Source organism: Homo sapiens, chromosome 16 (assembly GCF_000001405.40).
Source record: "Homo sapiens chromosome 16, GRCh38.p14 Primary Assembly".
NCBI lineage: Eukaryota > Metazoa > Chordata > Mammalia > Primates > Hominidae > Homo > Homo sapiens.
In genome coordinates, this window is record NC_000016.10 from 14551450 (window position 1) to 14571413 (window position 19964).

General features: G+C 41.2%; 1 protein-coding gene across 11 annotated transcripts in view; it reads right to left on the minus strand.

The window, feature by feature from the left end:
• The window catches only part of PARN (poly(A)-specific ribonuclease), a 194560-nt gene that overhangs the window by 115749 nt on the left and 58847 nt on the right, over positions 1-19964 (minus strand). For all 11 annotated transcript variants that reach the window (XR_007064884.1, XR_007064883.1, XR_007064882.1 and 8 more), the window contains 3 exons: positions 4205-4260; positions 2616-2702; positions 572-646 (listed from right to left, as the gene is read on the minus strand). Coding sequence is in view for 7 of the 11 variants with exons in the window: in NM_001134477.3 (NP_001127949.1) it covers positions 572-646; positions 2616-2702; positions 4205-4260 (218 nt within the window). In the remaining 4 variants the exon portion in view is untranslated. The remainder of the gene's footprint in view (positions 1-571; positions 647-2615; positions 2703-4204; positions 4261-19964) is intronic.

The window sequence follows — 19964 nt, forward strand, 5'->3', positions numbered from 1 at the left end:
TCCCAGCTACTCAGGAGGCTGAGACAGGAGAAGTGCTTGAACCCGAGAACCAGAGGTTGCAGTGAGCCGACATTGCGCCACTGCACTCCAGCCTAGGCGACAGAGCGAGACTATGTCTCAAAACAACAACAACAATGACAACAACAAAAACAACAAGTATTTGATACAAGTTTAATGGAGTGAATAAATCTCAAATATGTATCAACAAATGGGGGGAAAGTACAGAGATGAACAGGTCAATGTAAGTATTAATTTATTACAGGTACTTCTCATTCTCAAAGTAAATCTGCAACTCACTTCAGAAAAAGTGCAATGAGAAAGGAACAGAATGGAGGTAAATGAAAAAATATACTATGTAGCATACCTAATGAATCAAAAGAGATTTGTCTTATTTTCTCATCTATACATGATACTTACTAATTATTTCATTTATTTCAGAGACAATCTCAAAAACAAACGAGGCAGCAATGAGTGTAAGCTGACTGAGCCCATAGCTTTTAAATTAAGGGGGCAGTGGGAGGGCAACCTCTCACTGTATTTAATACACAAAACAGAAATCCAAAACACTTACCAATCTTTACTTGCTCGGGCTGGCTAAGGGAAACAAATGCTGATGTGTCATCAATCCAGGATATCTGAATGTTACCTGCAATCGCAAATTAAAAGTAAAGTGAACATTTGACCATGTGGAGAGCTATTAGATTTAATGCGCGTATCTTACATATTTCAGTATAGTCTATCTTTAAAGAGAGAGAAGGTGCTTATTTAAAATGTGATCAAAATCTCAGCCCTACAGAGAGTTAGCCTGTTCAAAGGCTACCACAGCAGTTATTTACGTTAAAACTTCAAGAGAAGAGACAAACCAGGGGGAAAAGACGCTATTAGAAATTTAACACAATAGAAAGATCCTTCCAGATTAAACCCTGGGGCTTGTCATCATTCAGTGCAATACTAGGATTAGGGACTTATTTTCCTATCAAGACCACTAACAAAAATCAGAGACCACATAGGTTCAAAAACACAACTATTTCTTTTTTTTATTTTTGAGACAGAGTCTCACTCTGTTGCCCAAGCTGGAGTGCAGTGGCACAATCTCAGCTCACTGCAACCTCTGCCTCCTGGGTCAAGCAATCCTCCCACCTCAGTGTCCCAAGTAGCTGGGACTACAGGCACACACCACCATGCTTACACATAATCTTATTGAAAATAGTGTTAGAGGCCGGGCGCGGTGGCTCACGCCTATAATCCCAGCACTTTGGGAGGCCGAGGTGGGAGGATCACCTGAGGTCAGGAGTTTGAGACCAGCCTGACCAACATGGAGAAACCCCAACTCTGCTAAAAATACAAAATTAGCTGGGCATGGTGGCGCATGCCTGTAATCCCAGCTACTCGCGAGGCTGAGGCAGGAGAATGGCTTGAACCTGGGAGGCGGAGGTTGAGGTGAGCCGAGATCGCGCCATTGCACTCCAGCCTGGGCAACAAGAACGAAACTCTGTCTCAAAAAAATAATAATAATAATAATAGTGTTAGTACTTAAAGTAACTTTATATGCCTTAACGTTCGTTCTGACTTATTTTAAATATTTACATGCAGAAATGGTGTACTGTATTATCAGTGCAGGAGGCACTGCTGTGAAAGTCTACTATTCTAAAATATCAATTTAAAAAAAAAGATAAGAAAAAAATAGATCAGGCTCAGTGGCTCATGCCTGTAATCCCAGCACTTTGAGAGTCCGAGGCGGGAGGATCACTTGAGCCCAGGAGTTCGAGGCCAGCCTGGGCTACACAGGAAGACCCTATTTCTATTTAAAAAAAAAAAAAAAAAAAAAAGAAAGAAAATGAAAAATGGTGTTAAGTTACATGGAAAGCCTACTTCGTATCTGCTTTTTACTCTAAACGTTAAAATACAAGCACTTTAACTTCTTTTAATAAACTCCTCAAATATTTTTTAAATGGCTACATACTAGAAGATACATAAACATTTACTAAACTTTCTTACTACTGGACATTTAGGTTTTGTGGCCTTCACTTTATCCAAGAATTTCCAAAGAGAATAGCTTAAATGCTTCGTTTGTTAAAATAAGAGGCATTGCTGTGGGTTTACAATCAGAATGGTCTTCATAAACACTTATCAGGAGACTGCTCAAACGAACCTAATCACATGACCTGGTAAAAAAGGAAAGAGAAGGACTGCCCTACCTCATACACGTATCACAAATCCTGATCTACCCAAACATCTGTCACTTTGATTAATCTAAAGCAGAGAAGACCTCCCCTGCCATTATGAAACACACAAACCCTGTGAGTTTAATCTTAAAAATTATTTATGCTTAGCCACAGCTTATTTTCCCTGGTCAGTAGTAAGGACAGTCCTCATCACGGTGTTTTGCTTTCCATGAATTAATAGCTCTGTATTGTGAGGTGCTATTAAAAGTTTCTCAGATGATATTAGCACAAAGATAACAGTATCCTAAACCAGAAAATTCAAAGAGTGAAATTAAAACCTTGAATATTAACATTCTTTTATACGCAGGCCAAAACTATCTTTCTACTTCTGACCACCTATACCAAATGAATAGCAAAACCCTAAAAAGTACATCTGAACTTGCGACTTACCAAAGGCACTGAAAAGCTGGTAAAGGTCGCTGGTTTTCCATTCTTTGGGGAATGTCACATGGAGAACATGATCACGTTTAGGCTGCACTACAAGACAAATTTATGATGAAATATTGATGGGTGAAAAGTGATCAAGTAAACCAGTGACTCTTTGATGAAACTAAGTCTGAGCTAATTTGGAGAACTGTTATGAATTCCTCATGATTACCAAACAACTCCTAAAAGTATGCCTAGGATTGGTGGGATTCTGCCATGGTAATCTAGACCTCAGGTTCTGATACTTTACAGAACCCACAACAACTTGAACCCAATGCAAAGGCATCTTCTCTTCTCATGAAGTTCCTGTGCAAATTATTTGTTTATTTTTTAATTTTTTTTTTTTTTGAGACAGGGTTTTGCCTTGTCATCCAGGCTAGAGTACAGTGGCACAATAATAGCTCACTGCAGCCTCAAACTCCTGGGTTCAAGCGATCCTCCCACCTCAACCTCCTGAGCAGCTGAGGCTACAGGTGCATGCCACCGTGCCTGGCTAATTTTTTTATTTTTTAATTTTATTTTTGTAGAGATGGGGGTCTCGCTATGCTGCCCACGCTGGTCTTGAATTCCTGGCCTCAAGTGATCCTCCCACCTCGGTCTCCAAAAGTGCTGGAATTACAAGCATGAACCACCACACCCAACTGTGCAAATTATTTAGAAGAAAAAAAAAACGCTGCTCTGTTCATGAAGTTTCACTTCACTAAACATTTAACTTTCCCATTTTAATATACTTAGTTAAAAAAAAAAGCACTGTCCAAATTAAATGGACTAATTGTTAAGTAAGGCAATCCCGAGTCATAATCTTGCTTTCTAATCCCAAACCTAGAACTTATTTGTGCAGCTCTAAGCAAGAGATCTAACCACTCTAACCACTCTGGACTATAAACTGGGAATGGCAATATTTAGCATACAGAATTCTTGTGAGAATGACAGACCAAAATATCAGTCTAATGTGGAGGGCAACACAACAGTATGTCCTCAAACTATCATTGCAACAATTATTGTCACCAAGTATAGTTCACCCACTTCCACCTGCCAGTGACATGCATTAAGGTAAAAAAGAGCAGTGAAATAGCAGAAAAAAAGCAGAGGAGAAGAAAAAGCAACCACCTCCCATAGACCTTCCACGTTTTTTAAATAAAACAAAACAAAACAAAACAGAAATCAACCTACTAAATTCAAATATACACATACTCAAGTAACTGGAAAACAGAAATTTTACCAAGATAACTGACAGCTAGCATATCTTAAAAATCTATTATAAATACTTATAGAAAATGATGAAATCAGAATTCTGAGTGAAAATGAAATATATAGAGAAGATACATGCTTCTAAAATTCATTTCATGCATAAACTGGAAAACATAAATGAAGAAATGACTAATGAATGCCCAAGAGTCCCATTAACTTAAGCATACTATTCATATCAACCACAAAATCACAGCCCAATTTTGAGTGAAAAAAGCTTTTTCTTTAGTAATATTTTCCTGTTATCCCTTCCAGACCACACACTTAAATGCACAGATGCAATAAGAAAATAAAAATTTACTTACAGTCTGGTCCTTCCAAGTTTAGATAGGGGATATCCATGACCCTCATAAGAAATAACCTACAAGAAGAAAAGACAAACAAGTAATGGGCAATTTCCTTTAAAAGACAGGCATTTTGCATTTTTAAGGTTGAATTAGAAAAAAAAAATTTTAATAGGCATTTATTATATCTTTTGTAGAAGATCCTTGATATCACTCTATTTGTAAAATTATTTCTATTATTTATTTTTTTTTAGATGGAGTTTCACTCTGCCGCCCAGGCTGGCATGCAGTGGTGTGATCTTGGCTCACTGCAACCTCTACCTCCCCAGTTAAGTGGTTCTTCTGCCTCAGCCTCCTGAGTAGCTCTAATTTTTGTATTTTTAGTACAAACGGGGTTTCACCATGTTGGCCAGGCTGGTCTTGAACTCCTGGCCTCAAGTGATCTACCTGCCTCTGCCTCCCAAAGTGCTGGCATTACAGGCGTGAGCCACCACATCTGGCTTTATAATTATTATTATTACTATTATTATTATTATTATCATTTTGAGACGGAGTCTTATTCTGTCGCCAGGCTGGAGTGCAGCGGCACAATCTCGGCTCACTGCAACCTCTGCCTCCCAGGTTCCAGCGATTCACCCGCCTCAGCCTCCCGAGTTGCTGGGACTACAGGCGTATGCCACCAAGCCCAGCTAATTTTTTGTATTTTTAGTACAGATGGGGTTTCCCGATGTTGACCAGGCTAGTCTCTAACTCCTGACCTCAAGTGATCCACCTGCCTCAGCCTCCCAAAGTGTTGCAATTACAGGCGTGAGCCACTGCACCAGCCATGTAAAATCATTTCTAAAGCTCTGAAATTCATTTCAGAGATTTTTCTCCTGGGCCAAATATTTATCACAAATAGAAAAAACAAACAAGCAACAAACTGGCATCCTCAACAGTTCCTGGCACTCAGTAGCTGCTCAATAAATATTAGCTAAATGAACAAAATTAATCATCAAAGAGTCAAGGGAAAGTCCTCCACAGAGCTGTCGTGTTAGTCCAAGTAAACAGAAAGAAAATAAATATTACCCATCTTACCAATCTATGAACAAGTGTTCCTAAAAATTCTAAGTGTAACCCTTACAATGGGCATTTGTGAGCTGAGAATGACAACACAGGTTTCTTTTTTTTTAATGAAATGCAAAGTCACTGGATAAATGCTAATCTCTCTGGGAGTCTGAAATAAGTGACTGTCTCAAAAGCCCACATCATTATTATCATTTAAAACACACTAAAAGCACCAAACAAAACAATCCTTGGTAAAGAAAACTATCACACTAATATAAATCATAGCAGTCATTTTATGTTTATCTTCCAAAATGGGTACAAAGGCACTTATAAAAGAGTGCTTGTAAATTACAACTCTCTGTCATGCCATTCAATTTTCTTTTATTTGCAAGATTATGGACAAAATATCATGCATTCTGTTGTGTGTAAGATTATTTTAATGAGTTTTACTTAGATAACAATATATTATGCATTTCTGGTAGAGACAACATTATACAGCAAATTAAAAAGGCAATCTATCTGCCCAAGAAGCAATTAGTTTGGCTTCACGGACCCACAGTTAAGGAACATTATTACCAGGCATTCAAAAGCCAAGCAGGGCCAGGCGCGGTGGCTCACACCTGTAATCCCAGCACTTTGGGAGGCTGAGGGTGGATCACCTGAGGTCAGAAGTTCAAGACCAGCCTGGCCAACATGGTGAAATCCCGTCTCTACTAAAAATACAAAAATTCGCTGGGCATGGTAGCAGGCACCTGTAATCCCAGCTACTCGGGAGGCTAAGGCAGGAGAATCGCTTGAACCATGGAGGCGGAGGTTGCAGTGAACCGAGATAGCAACACTGCACTCTAGCCTGGGCGACAAGAGCAAAACTCTGCCTCAAAAAAAAAAAAAAAAAAAAGCCAAGCAGGGCAAAAGCTAGTTTACAAATGGAACCATCAGCATGAACAATACTGTTCTGTTAATGTCAGAAAAAACGAAGTCATAGTACTCTGTGGTTTGAGAATTTGTTGTCTGGCCTACAATTTAATAAACCAAATTCTATGGCTAAGAAACCAAATTTATTTTTAGTTCACTAATTTAGGCTCAAGTGTACTATTCTGGTTTTGTAAGCTGTTTTAACCAATTTAATCAATACTCCCTGCAATGCCAGAAGACAAGAAGATACATAAAGCACCTAGCATGGTGGGTTCTCAGTGAGGGCAGCTATCATGTTTTCTTAAATATTATTTTCCAGCATAAACGATACACACTGGAACTATCATTATTTTCGCCTACCAGAACCTAATAATAACAAAAGTTATTCCTAGGTTAGTGAGCTAGTTAGTTAGATAAGTTAACTAACCTAGGAATAACTCTTGTTATTGTTAGTCATGCTTCATATAATTTTCAGTTCTCCGTTTAGTAAATTTAGAAATAGTCTCCAATTCTAAACACCAAATTTTTTAAAAAATTAATTTTAAAAGTTAATGAAGGCTGGGCACACTGGCTCACGCCTGTAATCCCAGCACTTTACGAGACCAAGGCAGGCAGATCACCTGAGGTCAGGAGTTTGAGACCAGCCTGGCCAACACGGTGAAACCCTGTCTCTACTAAAAATACAAAAAATTAGTGAGTTTGAGACCAGCCTGGCCAACACGGTGAAACCCTGTCTCTACTAAAAATACAAAAAATTAGTGGGTATGGTGGCGAGCACCTGTAATCCCAGCTACTTGGGAGGCCGAGACAGGAGAATCACTTGAACCCAGGAGGCAGAAGTTGCAGTGAGTCGAGATTGCGCCATTGGACTCCAGCCTGGCAACAGAGCGAGACTCTGTCTCAAAAAAAAAAAAGTTAATGAAACGTATCAAGCACCATAAAAATAACTGAGAAGAACAAAAGTTGAATCAACAAAATGTTCACTGCTATACCATCAAATATGCCAATAATCAAAATCAACCTCAAGATTTGATAATACATGGAGGTCAGTAAATTATAGTTCAAAATTTCAATATAATATTAAGCAACCAAAATAACTACGAAAATGTCAAAACATGGATAACTTATAATTCTAAGTTTTAAAAAGGCACAAAATTTTATACTATGATTTTACCTTTATAAAATATTTATATCATTAAGCCAAGAATAAAAAATACCCTCCCCTCTCCCACCAACAGCTTTGGGAAACTTTGAGCTTTGTTTCTCAAAATTCCTTTTACGATCATTTTTTAAACTTTAAAGGCTACCAGAACTGAGAAGCCCAGGGAAAATAACTAGAGACTTTCTTAGAAAAAGCCAACCGAAAATGCCATCTGAATTAATCTTTCGTATACTGTGCACTACCTCACCTGGCTGGGAGGGAGAAAAATATAAATATAAAAATATAAATATAAAACCACAAACTCGAATTTGCAATTCTTGTATTTCTGTTTACAATTCTGTTATATTGCTAAAGTCATGGGACCTCAACAACAAATTTAGGAAACTCAGTGTTGTAAAAATACCAGGAAGGATTATACTAACAAAGAAAAAGAAGGCTCTCCCAATTTCTCTTACCATTTAGATGTTGTTGTTTTTTTTTTATTTCTTTATTTTATTTTTTTCCATTTAGATGTTTTGAAAAAATTTTTTTGAAAAATATTTTTTGTCAATATATAAGCTATGTGTTCTCTAATATTTCACCTGAATTTTCAATATTATCTCTGATTAAAGTAAGCAAAAATTTATTCTCAGCTAAAACACTCAAAAGATTTGTTTTTTTTTTTTAATTTTTATGAGTATACAGTAGATGTATATATTTGTAGGGTACGTGAGATGTTTGGATAGAGGCATGCAATGTGAAATAAGCACATCATGGAGAATGCAGTGTCCATCCCCTCAAGCATTTATCCTTTCAGTTACAAACAATCCAACGACACTCTATTTAAAAATGTGCAATTAAGTTATTACCAAATATAGTCACCCTGTTGTGCTATCAAATAGGTCTTATTCATTCTATTTTTTGTACCCATAAAAGCTATTTTTTAATGTAGTCAATCCTACACTATCTTGTTTGTTTACTCCACATTACCTTACACAGAAACCCCTTTCAAATGAATTATTAATAGCACTTCTCACTCTTTCCCTATACCTTCACCTTCACATCTGGGGTTTAGAGGGAACTGAATAGCTCCAAAACCCGGAAGAACACGAAAACCAACTCTGTGTGACTTGGCAGACTGCGGCTCTGGAGAGCGCCACGCAATTGTGAAACTGACTCTAAAACTGTGGCTGAGTGTCTGCGGAACTGAACCAAAGTAAACTCTCCCAACGGCCTCCCACCGTCCTTATGCCATGCTGTTTGGAAGCCACTGCTCTGGTAACATCTCTGCCCTTCTGAAGTAAAATTAAAACATTTCAATATAGGCATGCCTCATCCCAGCTGGCTGTCAAATGGCCTGCACTGACTCCCTGGAATGATTTGATAAAATACTTCACATATGCCTCATCCAACTTGACAGTTTTCATCCTAGCATATGAGGAAATGCACTAGGCAAGCAGAAATGCTGATAAAGACATGAAAGGATGTTCCATCACTGTGAACTGTATTGAAGAACAATCTCTCCCAGAAGGACTTTCATCTGCAGATATCAAAAAGACACTCAGACTAACACTTGCACGAAACGTTCTTTCTATTTTAGCAAAGATCCGAGAGGGTGTAACACGGTAAAGACCCTCAAGACTGCGTGCGGGTATCTTGCCACATTTCTGAAAGCTTTCTGATGAAATATTATTTCCCCACTTATTCTCTAAAGGACTGACATTAACTTTATCAAACACTAAAATTAAAATTCCCATTAAATACAATGGCTAATTTTACAAAAGAATTCTATCCTAAGAAACAGTGTAACTCAAGTTCACATTCTAGATGTCATAGAGCAAGTTTTAACCTTTGTGGAATCTGTCATTTTTTAAATGTTGTATGAGTATATCACTGGCAGTGCTTGTTATCCTGGCTTTCAAACAAGTCTGGAAAGACTCCAGGGTAAAGCACAGCATACCAGGATCTTTTGCTCAATACACTGGGTCACTTCCACTCAGTCTCTTCACAGGCTACACAGCATACGCTACACAATACCTTTAGCTCCAAAGAGCCACCACCTCATCTCCATTACCCATGTGCTGGGTGGCACTCACAAAAAGCCACCCTCCAAACTTTTTTGTGAAACAGGCGGTATAGGCCGGGCGCGGTGGCTCACGCCTATAATCCCAGCAATCTGGGAGGCCGAGGCAGGTAGATCACCTGAGGTCAAGAGTTCCAGACCAGCCTAGCCAATGTGGTGAAACCTCGTCTCTATTTAAAAATACAAAAATTAGCTGGGTATGGTGGCGGGTGCCTGTAATCCCAGCTACTTAGGAGGCTGAGGCAGGAGAATCGCTTGAACCCAGGAGGCGAAGGCTGCAGTGAGCCGAGATTGCACTGCTGCACTCCAGCCTAAGTGATAAGAGCAAAACTCCGTCTCAAAAAAAAAAAAAAAAAAGAAAAGGGCGGGATGACACTGTGTCCCAGGCTGCCTAAGAAGGCTCATTAGTTACTGAAGAATTTCATTTCAGATATATAACTCTAGAATATAGAACCTTGAACCGTTAGCAAAATGTGCTTCCCCGCCAACTGGATCAGCATCACCTGGGAACTTGTTAGAGATGCAAATTCCCAAGCGCCATCCAAGACTCCTGACTCAGAAACTCTGGACTGAGAATCACCGAGTTAACAGGAAAACAGTATATTCAATGTGGTGTTGTTAATTACCACTAAAGATGATGCAGCAATCAGCTGGATAATGACTTGTGCCAACTTCTCCAAAAGATATTAGTCTTAATGATTTGTTTATATTAAATCATTCTGTGGCTCATCCCTGTTAATCCCACTGCTTCGGGAGGCAGAAGTGGGAGAATTACTTGAGGCCTGGAGTTTGAGATCAGTCTGAGCAACATGGTGAGACTCCTGTCTTTACAAAAAGTAAATTAGCCGGGCAAGGTGGCTCGTGCCTGTAGTCCCAGCTACTCAGGAGGCTAAGGCAGCAGGATTGTTTGACTCCATGAATTTGAGGCTGCAATGAGCTATAACATGCCACTGCACTCCAGTCTGGGCAACAGAGAAAGACCCTGTCTACACAATAAATAAACAATTAAATGAACAAACCATAAATAAAATACGTAGAAAAACACAAAACTGGCCAGCCACAGTGGCTTACGCCTGTAATCCCAGCACTCTGGGAGGCTGAGGCAGGTGGATCACTGGAGGTCAAGAGTTCCAGACTGGCCTTGCCAATATGGCAAAACCCCATCTCTACTAAAAATACAAAAATTAGCCAGGGGTGGTGGCGCACGCCTGTAATCCCAGCTACTCGGGAGGCTGAGGCAGGAGAATCGCTTAAACCTGGGAGGCAGAGGTTGCACCATTACACTCCAGCCTGGGGAACAGAGTGAGACTCCATCGCAAAAAAAGAAAAGAAAAGTACAAAACTTTGACACATAAAATTTTAAAAAAGAAAAAAACTGCCAAGCATAGTGGCTCATGCCCGTAATCCCAGCACCTGGGGAGGCCAAGGCAGGCAGATCAGAGTTTGAAACCAGCCTGGGCAACATGACTGCTACAAAGAAATACAGAAAATTAGCCAGGTGTGGTGGCACATGCCTGTAGTCCGAGCTACTTGGGAGGCTAAGGCAGGAGGAGCCCCTGAGCCTGAGAGGTGGAGGTTGCAGTGAGCCTGGGGGTCAGAGCGGGACTCTGTCTCGAAAAAAAAAAAAAAAAAAACTATGAATAAAAAAAAGAAAAACATAAAACTATTAAATACCAAGGACTACCTCAAAATCCAGAAGGCAGTAACATAAGCCTTCTACCACTCCTTGAAACCAGGAGGCCAAACTGTAGCATGCAACTAGGTTCTCTGCAAGAGATAAATTGGGTGAAATTACTGCTGACAGCTACCACTCTTGTTTTTAAGTAGATTTAAAAAAAAAAAAAAAATTACTCAAACTACTCTCTTGGCAACTCATTAGCAAAAGTCTAACCTGTTTCTGTGAATTGGCCACAAATTAAGCTTTAGCCACTAATGCAGCACTAAAGATTAGCAAACACTTGAGGGAGTAACACACACAATACAAAAGAATCAGACACCTCTAACATTAGCAAAATCCTCCACCCTTACCACAAAGCTTCAGACACAGATTATGTTAAGTACAAGCACAGATCAAAGGTTATTCTATGATGACACAATGGCTTGCCTTGGACTGTGGCTTATCTAAGCCATTCCCTAGTAGTCCGGTGAATATTAAGTGGGTTGCAAAACAATGCTGCTATTAACCCATTTCACGCAGCTATGCTCAAGAAAACGAAGTATGATATTCAAAAATGCATGCAAGCAGTCCTAAAGGTGATTCAGGAATACTTTGGATGGAGACTCAAACCTCTGAGAACTGAAAAGATCATTATAGTTCTTTCAAATTCTACATTACCAAATCTATCTACAAAATCACAGATTTGATTCACAAAGGAAAGGAAATACTTAGTTTTGCTCCTGAGGCAGCAGGCTTTCCAGTCCTAAAACTGATGGCAGAGGAGGAGCGTGAATCAGACAGGCGGCCACTTTAAGAAGCAGTTAGCAAAAAATGGTCACGCCTAGTGTTGGAGCCAGTGCAGTGCAAGGCAAGCATGTACTGACAAGAGCTCCAGCCACGAAGGAAGGTTGTGAGTGTACCATGACAGATCTGGCTGGCAGGCCACTGAAGGCTGTCTACATGATGCTGACCACGAGTTTTAATGTGTTTGAAAATTCCTTTGTGTGTGTGTGTGTGTGTGTGTGTGTGTGTGTGTGTGTGTGTGTGTATATAATTCTTTTAAGTTCTGGGATACATGTGCAGGACACGCAGGTTAAATATGTATCTTTTAAATTGAGACAGGGTCTATGTTGCCCAAGCAAGACTCAAACTCAGTCTCAAGTGATCCTCCCACCTCAGCCTCATAAATGGCTGGAATGACAGGTGCACACCACCGCACCTGGCTTTTTTTTTTTTTTTAGTTATACAATTATATAACTAGTATAATCTCAATCAGCAAATGAGGAACACTGATCTCAATTAGTAAATGAAATAGACACAGAACACAAACTAGCAGGAAATTCTCTAAGAGGACAGCTTTTTTTCTTCTGGGCTGAGGAATTATGAGTGGGATTTTTGTGTTTTAAAAAGAAAAAAAAATTAAGGACAAAAATTCCTAACTAAAGTAACATTTATCATGGCCTGTTCAGCCTCAGTTGATCCTCTCCTGTCTGGAAGTTATCGGTCCCCCTGTACTGAGAATGGGAGGCAGATTCTTCCAAGTTTAGCCACTTGCCCTTGGCCACCATGGAGGCCGACCCTAAGCTTCCCACTACCCGCCCTACACACGCAGGCCCTGTTCTCTCTCTCCCACGTGGCTTTTAACCTGAGCTGTCTCCATAGCCTCCCTGTGAAATGGTAAGCCTAGAGTACCAGCGGGAGCAGCTAGGGACAAGGGTTTTCATCCTAAACCACTAGTCAAAGCCCTTGTGTATATAAGAGAAGCAAGTGTAAGCAAGTGCTCAGGATACAACATCCCAGAAACATTTTTTTATAATACTCAAAGGGCTGATTAACTTATAGCTTCACGTGATGGCGTGGAGCCCTGATACAAAAAATGAGGTTGCTGTCTGAGGAAGAGCTTTGGGTAGAGCGAATTTTCAAGGCAACAGGAACAACACGCAGTGAAGAGAGCCATGTGGCCGGAGATCAAAAGGACAACCTTCCCACGACTGTAGTGCAAAGCAAGCTGCTACCTGGGCATGGGGCTTGCCAGGCACACCTGCTCCCACACACCGTGATCACCATCAGGAAAACGAGTGAATCAGCATCTCAGGGTGAGGCGAGGCCTCAGAGGTGTAGGGACACAGAGGTTTAGTTTGCATAATGACACACACACAGGCCTGGATGATCTAGACAGACTTCTAATGTCATGACATGTGTTAATAAAGAAGAACAGAGTTTATTCTGGTCTCTCTTCCTAGCAAAAGGAAAAACCTCAAGCCCCCAAACTCTTTATCCTTCCTCCTAAGAACTCAGTATTTTCACTCCCCGAGTGAAAAATTTGCATTCGTGTCCATCTGCTTTCTGCTTCTCTCAAGACTACACTTCCGATTTCTCAAAAAAGAGATTTCCAAGTAAAATTGTACCCCTCTCCTACCACTACAGACTGGGATACAGAAATGTTGAATACAATCTCATCTCAACCCAATTTGAGCACAGAATTAATCTGCGGCTCACCCCAAGTCCCAAGCCTTCTAAAGAGAAATTGAAACCTTAACCGACCAGCAGCTCTACTGTACTTGCAAACGGTCTTGGTATTTCCTTCAGGGCAGAGCAGTAAAAGCACTTCATAAGAACCCTGTATGCAAGGCTCATCATTATACATATTTATGTGCTATAAAAAACTAATTTTATCATCCAGGGTAGGAAGCATGCAGACATCTCTCACAAAATAAGCTCATTTATTTTGCTCACTAAGGCTCCTGTGTAAAATAAGGGTAACCACTGGCTAGATGGGAGTGACTGTGGCATCAGTTATTTTAATTTCACTCAGGTGGGGGGAATACAGTTTTCAATCTAGCCACTTGCTGTTTTGACAAATAGAGCGTTACTCAACATTTGTCCTGAAGCCAACTCATATCCTTTCTTAAATACATACACTAGAAACAAAGGCAAAAAAAAAAAAACAAAGGAAGAAAAAAACAAAACCAGCAGCTCATTTCAACAGTCTCCAAATGAAGCATATCAAATTACATCAACTAAAAACATTAAATTAAACATTATACAAAGGCAATGCCTGCAGGGCCTGTAAAACAACATACTGTAAAGTGTCAGAGGAAACAAGCCCCACACAATCCAACAGTCTAAGTCAACATCTTTTACAGTCTGTGCTCAGGCCAAACATTGAGAGAAACGGAAATCTTCTTTCAAAGACACTAACACTGTCTCTTAAAAAGATATGCCACCAACTACAGCATTGTCCCTTATAGACACTGTGTGCTATGGAAGAAGAATCCCTTCTTAGTGGAGCACAGGCTTGATTATCCCTGACTCTGCCACTCCTGGGGCCCTAGGCAGATGTCTCGGCTTTAAAATGGGCACATTTTCCCCTATCTATGAGGGCTGCCTTTAGAAAAAACAGTCAATGCAGGTGACATACTGTGCATAGTGGAAGGTGTTCAATCGATAAGCTATTTGATAGGTAGCCCAAATTTCTTAGAGTATACTGCTAATCCTTGAACACTGCAAATTAAATGCTAAATAGTCTTGGAAATAACTATTACCCACTTGCTCCAAGCCAGGACCAATGCAAGGCTGGAAATAGCTAAGAATGCTGACTTTACTACTAACCTGCCTACAGTGGGCTGAATGGTGGCCTCCAAAAAGATATGTCCACTTTCTACTCCCTGGAACCTCTGAGTGCTACCTTAGTTGGAAAAGGAATCTTAGTAGATGTTATTATATTAACATCTACTAAAATGATAATATCTGGGATTGATGATATTATCTGGGATTATACAAGTGGGGCCTCACTGCCATCATATGTGTCCTCATAAGAGAGAGGCAGAGACAGAGAGGACACACACACAGAGGAGGAGGAGGCAATGTGACCATGGGGACAGAGACTGGAGTGATGTGGCCCTAAGCAGAGGGATGCCAAGGAACGCCTGCAGCCACTGGAAGCCAGAGGAGACAAGGACAGATTCTTCCCCAGAGCCTCTGGAGGGAGCTCAGCAATGCTGATGACTTGATTTGAAACTTCTGGCCTCCAGAACCATGAGAGATGTATTCACCTAAAACACTTGGTATTTTAAGCCACCAAGCTTGCAGTAACTTGTCACAGCAGCCACAGAACACTAATCCAATACCCTACAGAACACTAATCCAATACCCTACTACAGAGGAGGCAAGTTGCTTAAATATACATCCAAGGGTTGACTGATTTCCTTTTACCTCAACAAGTTATTTTAAATTATAATAATAAACAAGCTATTAAGCCAGAGAGAAATGTACTTTAAAGTAACTAGAGCAAACACAAGACTAGAACAGCTCAGCACGTGGACTGCCCCTGCAGTGCTGCAGGGCTAGCATACCAAGTACAGGTTGCTGGGTGGGTGGCCTGTAAGGTTTCTTTAAAAAGCAGTTTTTTGATGCTGCCACAGAAGTGGCAATCAAGATCACAAGGCAGAAATTAAATAAGGCAGTATCAACTTGAGGCAAGCAGTCCCTTCCCTGAAGTAGCACTTGTTTCCAGTCTTAAAAAACCAGACTCAAGGCTTCACAGTAATTTAATGTGCCCTGTCTTTTGACTTTGTGAAAATCAGTGAGTGCATTAAACTTTGAGGGTAATCAAACCAAGCCAATTCATGGAGATTCTTTTTATCATGGTAACTTGGGGAGCCAAAAACGAAATAAACAAGACTTTGAGGAAAAATAAATGGCTTTGGTTAAAGTATGTGAGGAAGAAAAAATGCATCTTGTATATTAGGGGAAAATATATTTTGTGAACTAGGGAAAAACTGGCTTCAAGCCTTCTGGAATCTGGGAGGCTGGCTTGAAGCATCTGCAGTGCTAAAATTTCACTCCTCCATGGCACCTGACTCCAAAATTTACACAATCCAGAAGAGGTTGAAAATGGAGACTATTTTTTAAAGACGTATTTCCTGGGCTCTTTATGATTAAAGGGTAATATCAACAATCATACCACTGTCCACATGCAGCCAGTTTATGATAAGCTGTGCTGCCTAGTCCAGGTTCATACCCATTTTTGGTAAAAGCTGCAGGGCACAGGATATCATCTTTTAAAAGATTTGTTACTCCCTCATGCAAGCACATTAATATAAAATTAAAGGATAACTACTACCAAGTTCTTGGGAAAGCCAGCCAATAAGAAAGAAGGGGCCCATGATCACCACTGCTATAAGTGGCCTCCTTCCTGCCTTCCCTGACCTCGGTTCTGGCATCACCAGGTGCTTCTGGGAAAGGGATGAGAAGGGATGTGCCCGGCACAGGCAGACAATGGAGGAGGCTGTGTTCTCGACCCTAATGCCTCACAAATCACACAGCCTCACCAGCGTCAGAAGGCTCAACACAAATTAGTGCAAATAACACACAGGGTAGGTATTTTCTTTTCACTTACAACCCAACTTTGCAGCAAGACCTTTAAAATTAAGATGCAAAGACAGTTATAAAGTGTTTTCTTAAGAAGATATCTAAATTGCCATTCTCAATTAAAAAGTTTTTGTTGGCATCACGTATGTGGGCCACTTTGCTTCTATCAACACAGAGAGACTGTCACCCAAGGGTCCTCAGCACAGAACACACCGCCTGCTGTGTTTCTTTCATAAAATGAAGACCTACCCAGCACTGTGGGAGGCCGAGACGGGAGAATCTTTTGGGTCCAGAAGTTCAAGACCAGTCTGGGTGACAGGGCGCGACCTCATCTCTATGAAAAACTTTATTTTTTTTATTTTTACCTTTTTTTTTTTTTTTTGAGACGGAGTCTCGCCCTGTTGCCCAGGCTGCGGTGCAGTGGCACGATCTCGGCTCACCGCAGCCTCTGCCTCCCGGGTTCAAGCGATTCTTCCGCTTCAGCCTCCCGAGTAGCTGGGACTACAGGTACCCGCCACCATGCCCAGCTAATTTTTTTGTATTTTTAGTAGAGACAGGGTTTCACCACATTGGCCAGGCTGGTATGAAAAACTTAAAAAAAAAAAAAAATAGCTGGGTGTGGTAGCATGCATCTGTACTCCCTGCTACTTGGAGGGTGGAGCAGGAGGATCCCTTGGGCCCAGAATGCAATGAGCCATGTCTGCTCCACTGCACTCCAGCCTGAGTGACAGAGCCAGACCCTGTCTCAAAAAAAATAATTTAAAAAAATGCCGGGCGCTGGCAGGGCACGGTGGCCCACGTCTGTAATCCCAGCACTTTGGGAGGCTGAGGCGGGCGGAGATCAAGACTATCCTGTCCAACATGGTGAAACCCTGTCTCTACTAAAAATACAAAAAGTTAGCAGGGCATGGTGGCACGCGCCTGTAGTCCCAGCTACTCAGGAGGCTGAGAAAGGGGAATCGCTTGAACCTGGGAGGCAGAGGTTGCAGTGAGCCGAGATCACGCCATTGCACTCTAGCCTGGCAACAGAGCAAGACTCCATCTCAAAAAAAATTAAATTAAATTAAATTTTTTAAAAAAAGTGCGGGGACAGTGGCTCATGTCTGAAAACCCAACACTTTGAGAGGCTGAGGTGGGCGGATCACTTGAGGCCAAGAGTTCGAGACCAGCCTGGCCAACATGGTTAAACCCCGTCTCTACTAAAAATACAAAAATTTGCCGGGTATGGTGGCTTGAGCCTGTAATCCCAGCTACTCAGGAGGCTGAGGCATGAGAATTGCTAGAGCCTCGGAGGTGAAGGTTGCAGTGAGACGAGATCACGCCACTGCACTCCAGCCTGGGCGATGGAGGAGACTTCTCAAAAAATATATACAAATTTAAAAAAAAAAAAGAATTTAAAAAAACGAAATGAAATGAGAAACAAGATTTCCATTATTTTCTTCAAGTTCACTACAGTGTAAGTCACAGTAACAACCACCCTTTCTGCACACCTTCTACATGCCACACCCAACACCAAACAGCCTTATCAGCGCTGCTGCCCAACCAGGTGGAGATTATGATCTACAGTTGAAAGACTAGAAACCTAGCTTTGGCAAGACAAATCTCCCGTCTGGTGGCATCAATCCAACCGACCCACCCTGAAGCCTCAGCTATTTCCCTTATGCTCCTGCTGCCTTATGCATAAGCCACCCTAGCTGAGATGTTGCACAGATACACATCTATGTATCTTAAAGTTTATGTGCCCAAGGTGTGATCTAAACATAAGGCAGTAATACAATTACAAAAGAAAAATGCTCCAGGTGATGCAAAATATCATTGTTTTAATAAATTAAAATGTCAGTGAAGCAATGAGTTGCTCAAAAAGAACAGTTCACAAAAGGATACATTCATAGACAGATTAGAGGTAACCAGGAGCTGAGGGGAGGCAGAAGATAGGGAGTTACTGGCTTGCTGGTTACAGAGTTTCTGTTTGGGGTGACGAAAAAGTTCTGGAAACAGTGGCTATGGTTGTATAATATTGTGAATGTAATTAATGCCATCAAACTGTACATTTTAAATGGTTAAATAGCAAAAGTTGTATATTTTACCAAATTAAAAAAAATTAATAACGTAATATGCCAAAAACCACTGAACTATACACTTTAAATGAGTGAACTATATGGTATGTGAATTTATATCTCAATAAAGTGGTTTTGAAATAGGAAAGAGGAGGCCGGGTGCGGTGGCTCACGCCTGTAATCCCAGCACTTTGACAGGCCAAGGCGAGCAGATCACGAGGTCAGGAGTTCAAGACCAGCCTGGCCAACATGGTGAAACCCTGACTCTACTAAAAATACAAAAATTAGCAGGGTGCAGTGGCACGTGCCTGTAATCCCAACTACTCAGGAGGCTGGGGCAGGAGAATTGCTTGAATCTGGGAGGTGGTATCACACCACTGCGCTCCAGCCTAGGTGGCAGAGCGAGACTCTGTCTCAAAAAAAAAAAAAAAAAAAAAAAAAAAGAAAAGAAAAAGGAAAGAGGGCCGGGCCCTGTGGCTCATGCCTGCTGTAATCCCACCACTTTGGGAGACCGAGGCGGCGGATCATGAGGTCAAGAGTTCGAGACCAGCCTGCCCAACACAGTGAAACCCTGTCTCTACTAAAAGTACAAAAATTAGCCAGACACGGTGGCGCATGCTTGTAGTCTCAGCTACTCAAGAGGCTGAGGTAGGAGGATCCCTTGAACCTGGGAGGCGGAGGTTGCAGTGAACAAAGATCATGCCACTGCACTCCAGCCTGGGCGACAGAGTGAGACTCCATCTCAAAAAAAAAAAAAGAGAAAAGAAAAAGAAAAAAGAAAAAGGAAAGAGGCTGGGCACCGTGGCTCATGCCTGTAATCCCAGAACTTTGGGAGGCTGAGGTTGGAGGATCGCTTGAGCCCAGGAGGTCAAGACCAGCGAGGGCAACGTAATGAGGCCCCCACCTCTACAAAAAAAAAAAAAAAAAAAAAAATTAGCCAGGCATGGTGGCATGCGCCTTTGGTAGCTACTTGGGAGGCTGAGGCAGAAGGATCATTTATGCCCAGAAGGTTGAGGGTGCAGTGAGCCATGATCGTGCCTCTGCACTCCAGCCTGGATGACAGAGCAAGACCCTGTCTCAAGGGAAAGAAAAAGAAAAGAATTAAAGTTAAAATTTAAAAAAGGAAAGAAACAGCTTCTAATAGTTCACTTAGAAGATATATTTCTTTACTTCCTTTTCCCAATAAAAGTCTAAAACTCCAGGCGCGGTGGCTCATGCCTGTAATTCCAACACTTTGGGAGGCTAGGGTGGGTGGTTCACTTGAGGTCAGGAGTTCAAGACCAGCCTAGCCAACTTGGTGAAAGCCCATCTCTACCAAAAATACAAAAATTAGCTAGGAGTGGTGGCGGGCACCTGTAATCCCAGCTATCAGGAGGCGGAGGCAGAGATTGCAGTGAGCCAAGATTGCACCACTGCACTCCAGCCTGGGCTAACAGAGCAAGATTCCAACTCAAAAAAAAAAAAAAAGTCTAAAACTGAAAACACAATACAGAACTAAGAGTAAGAAC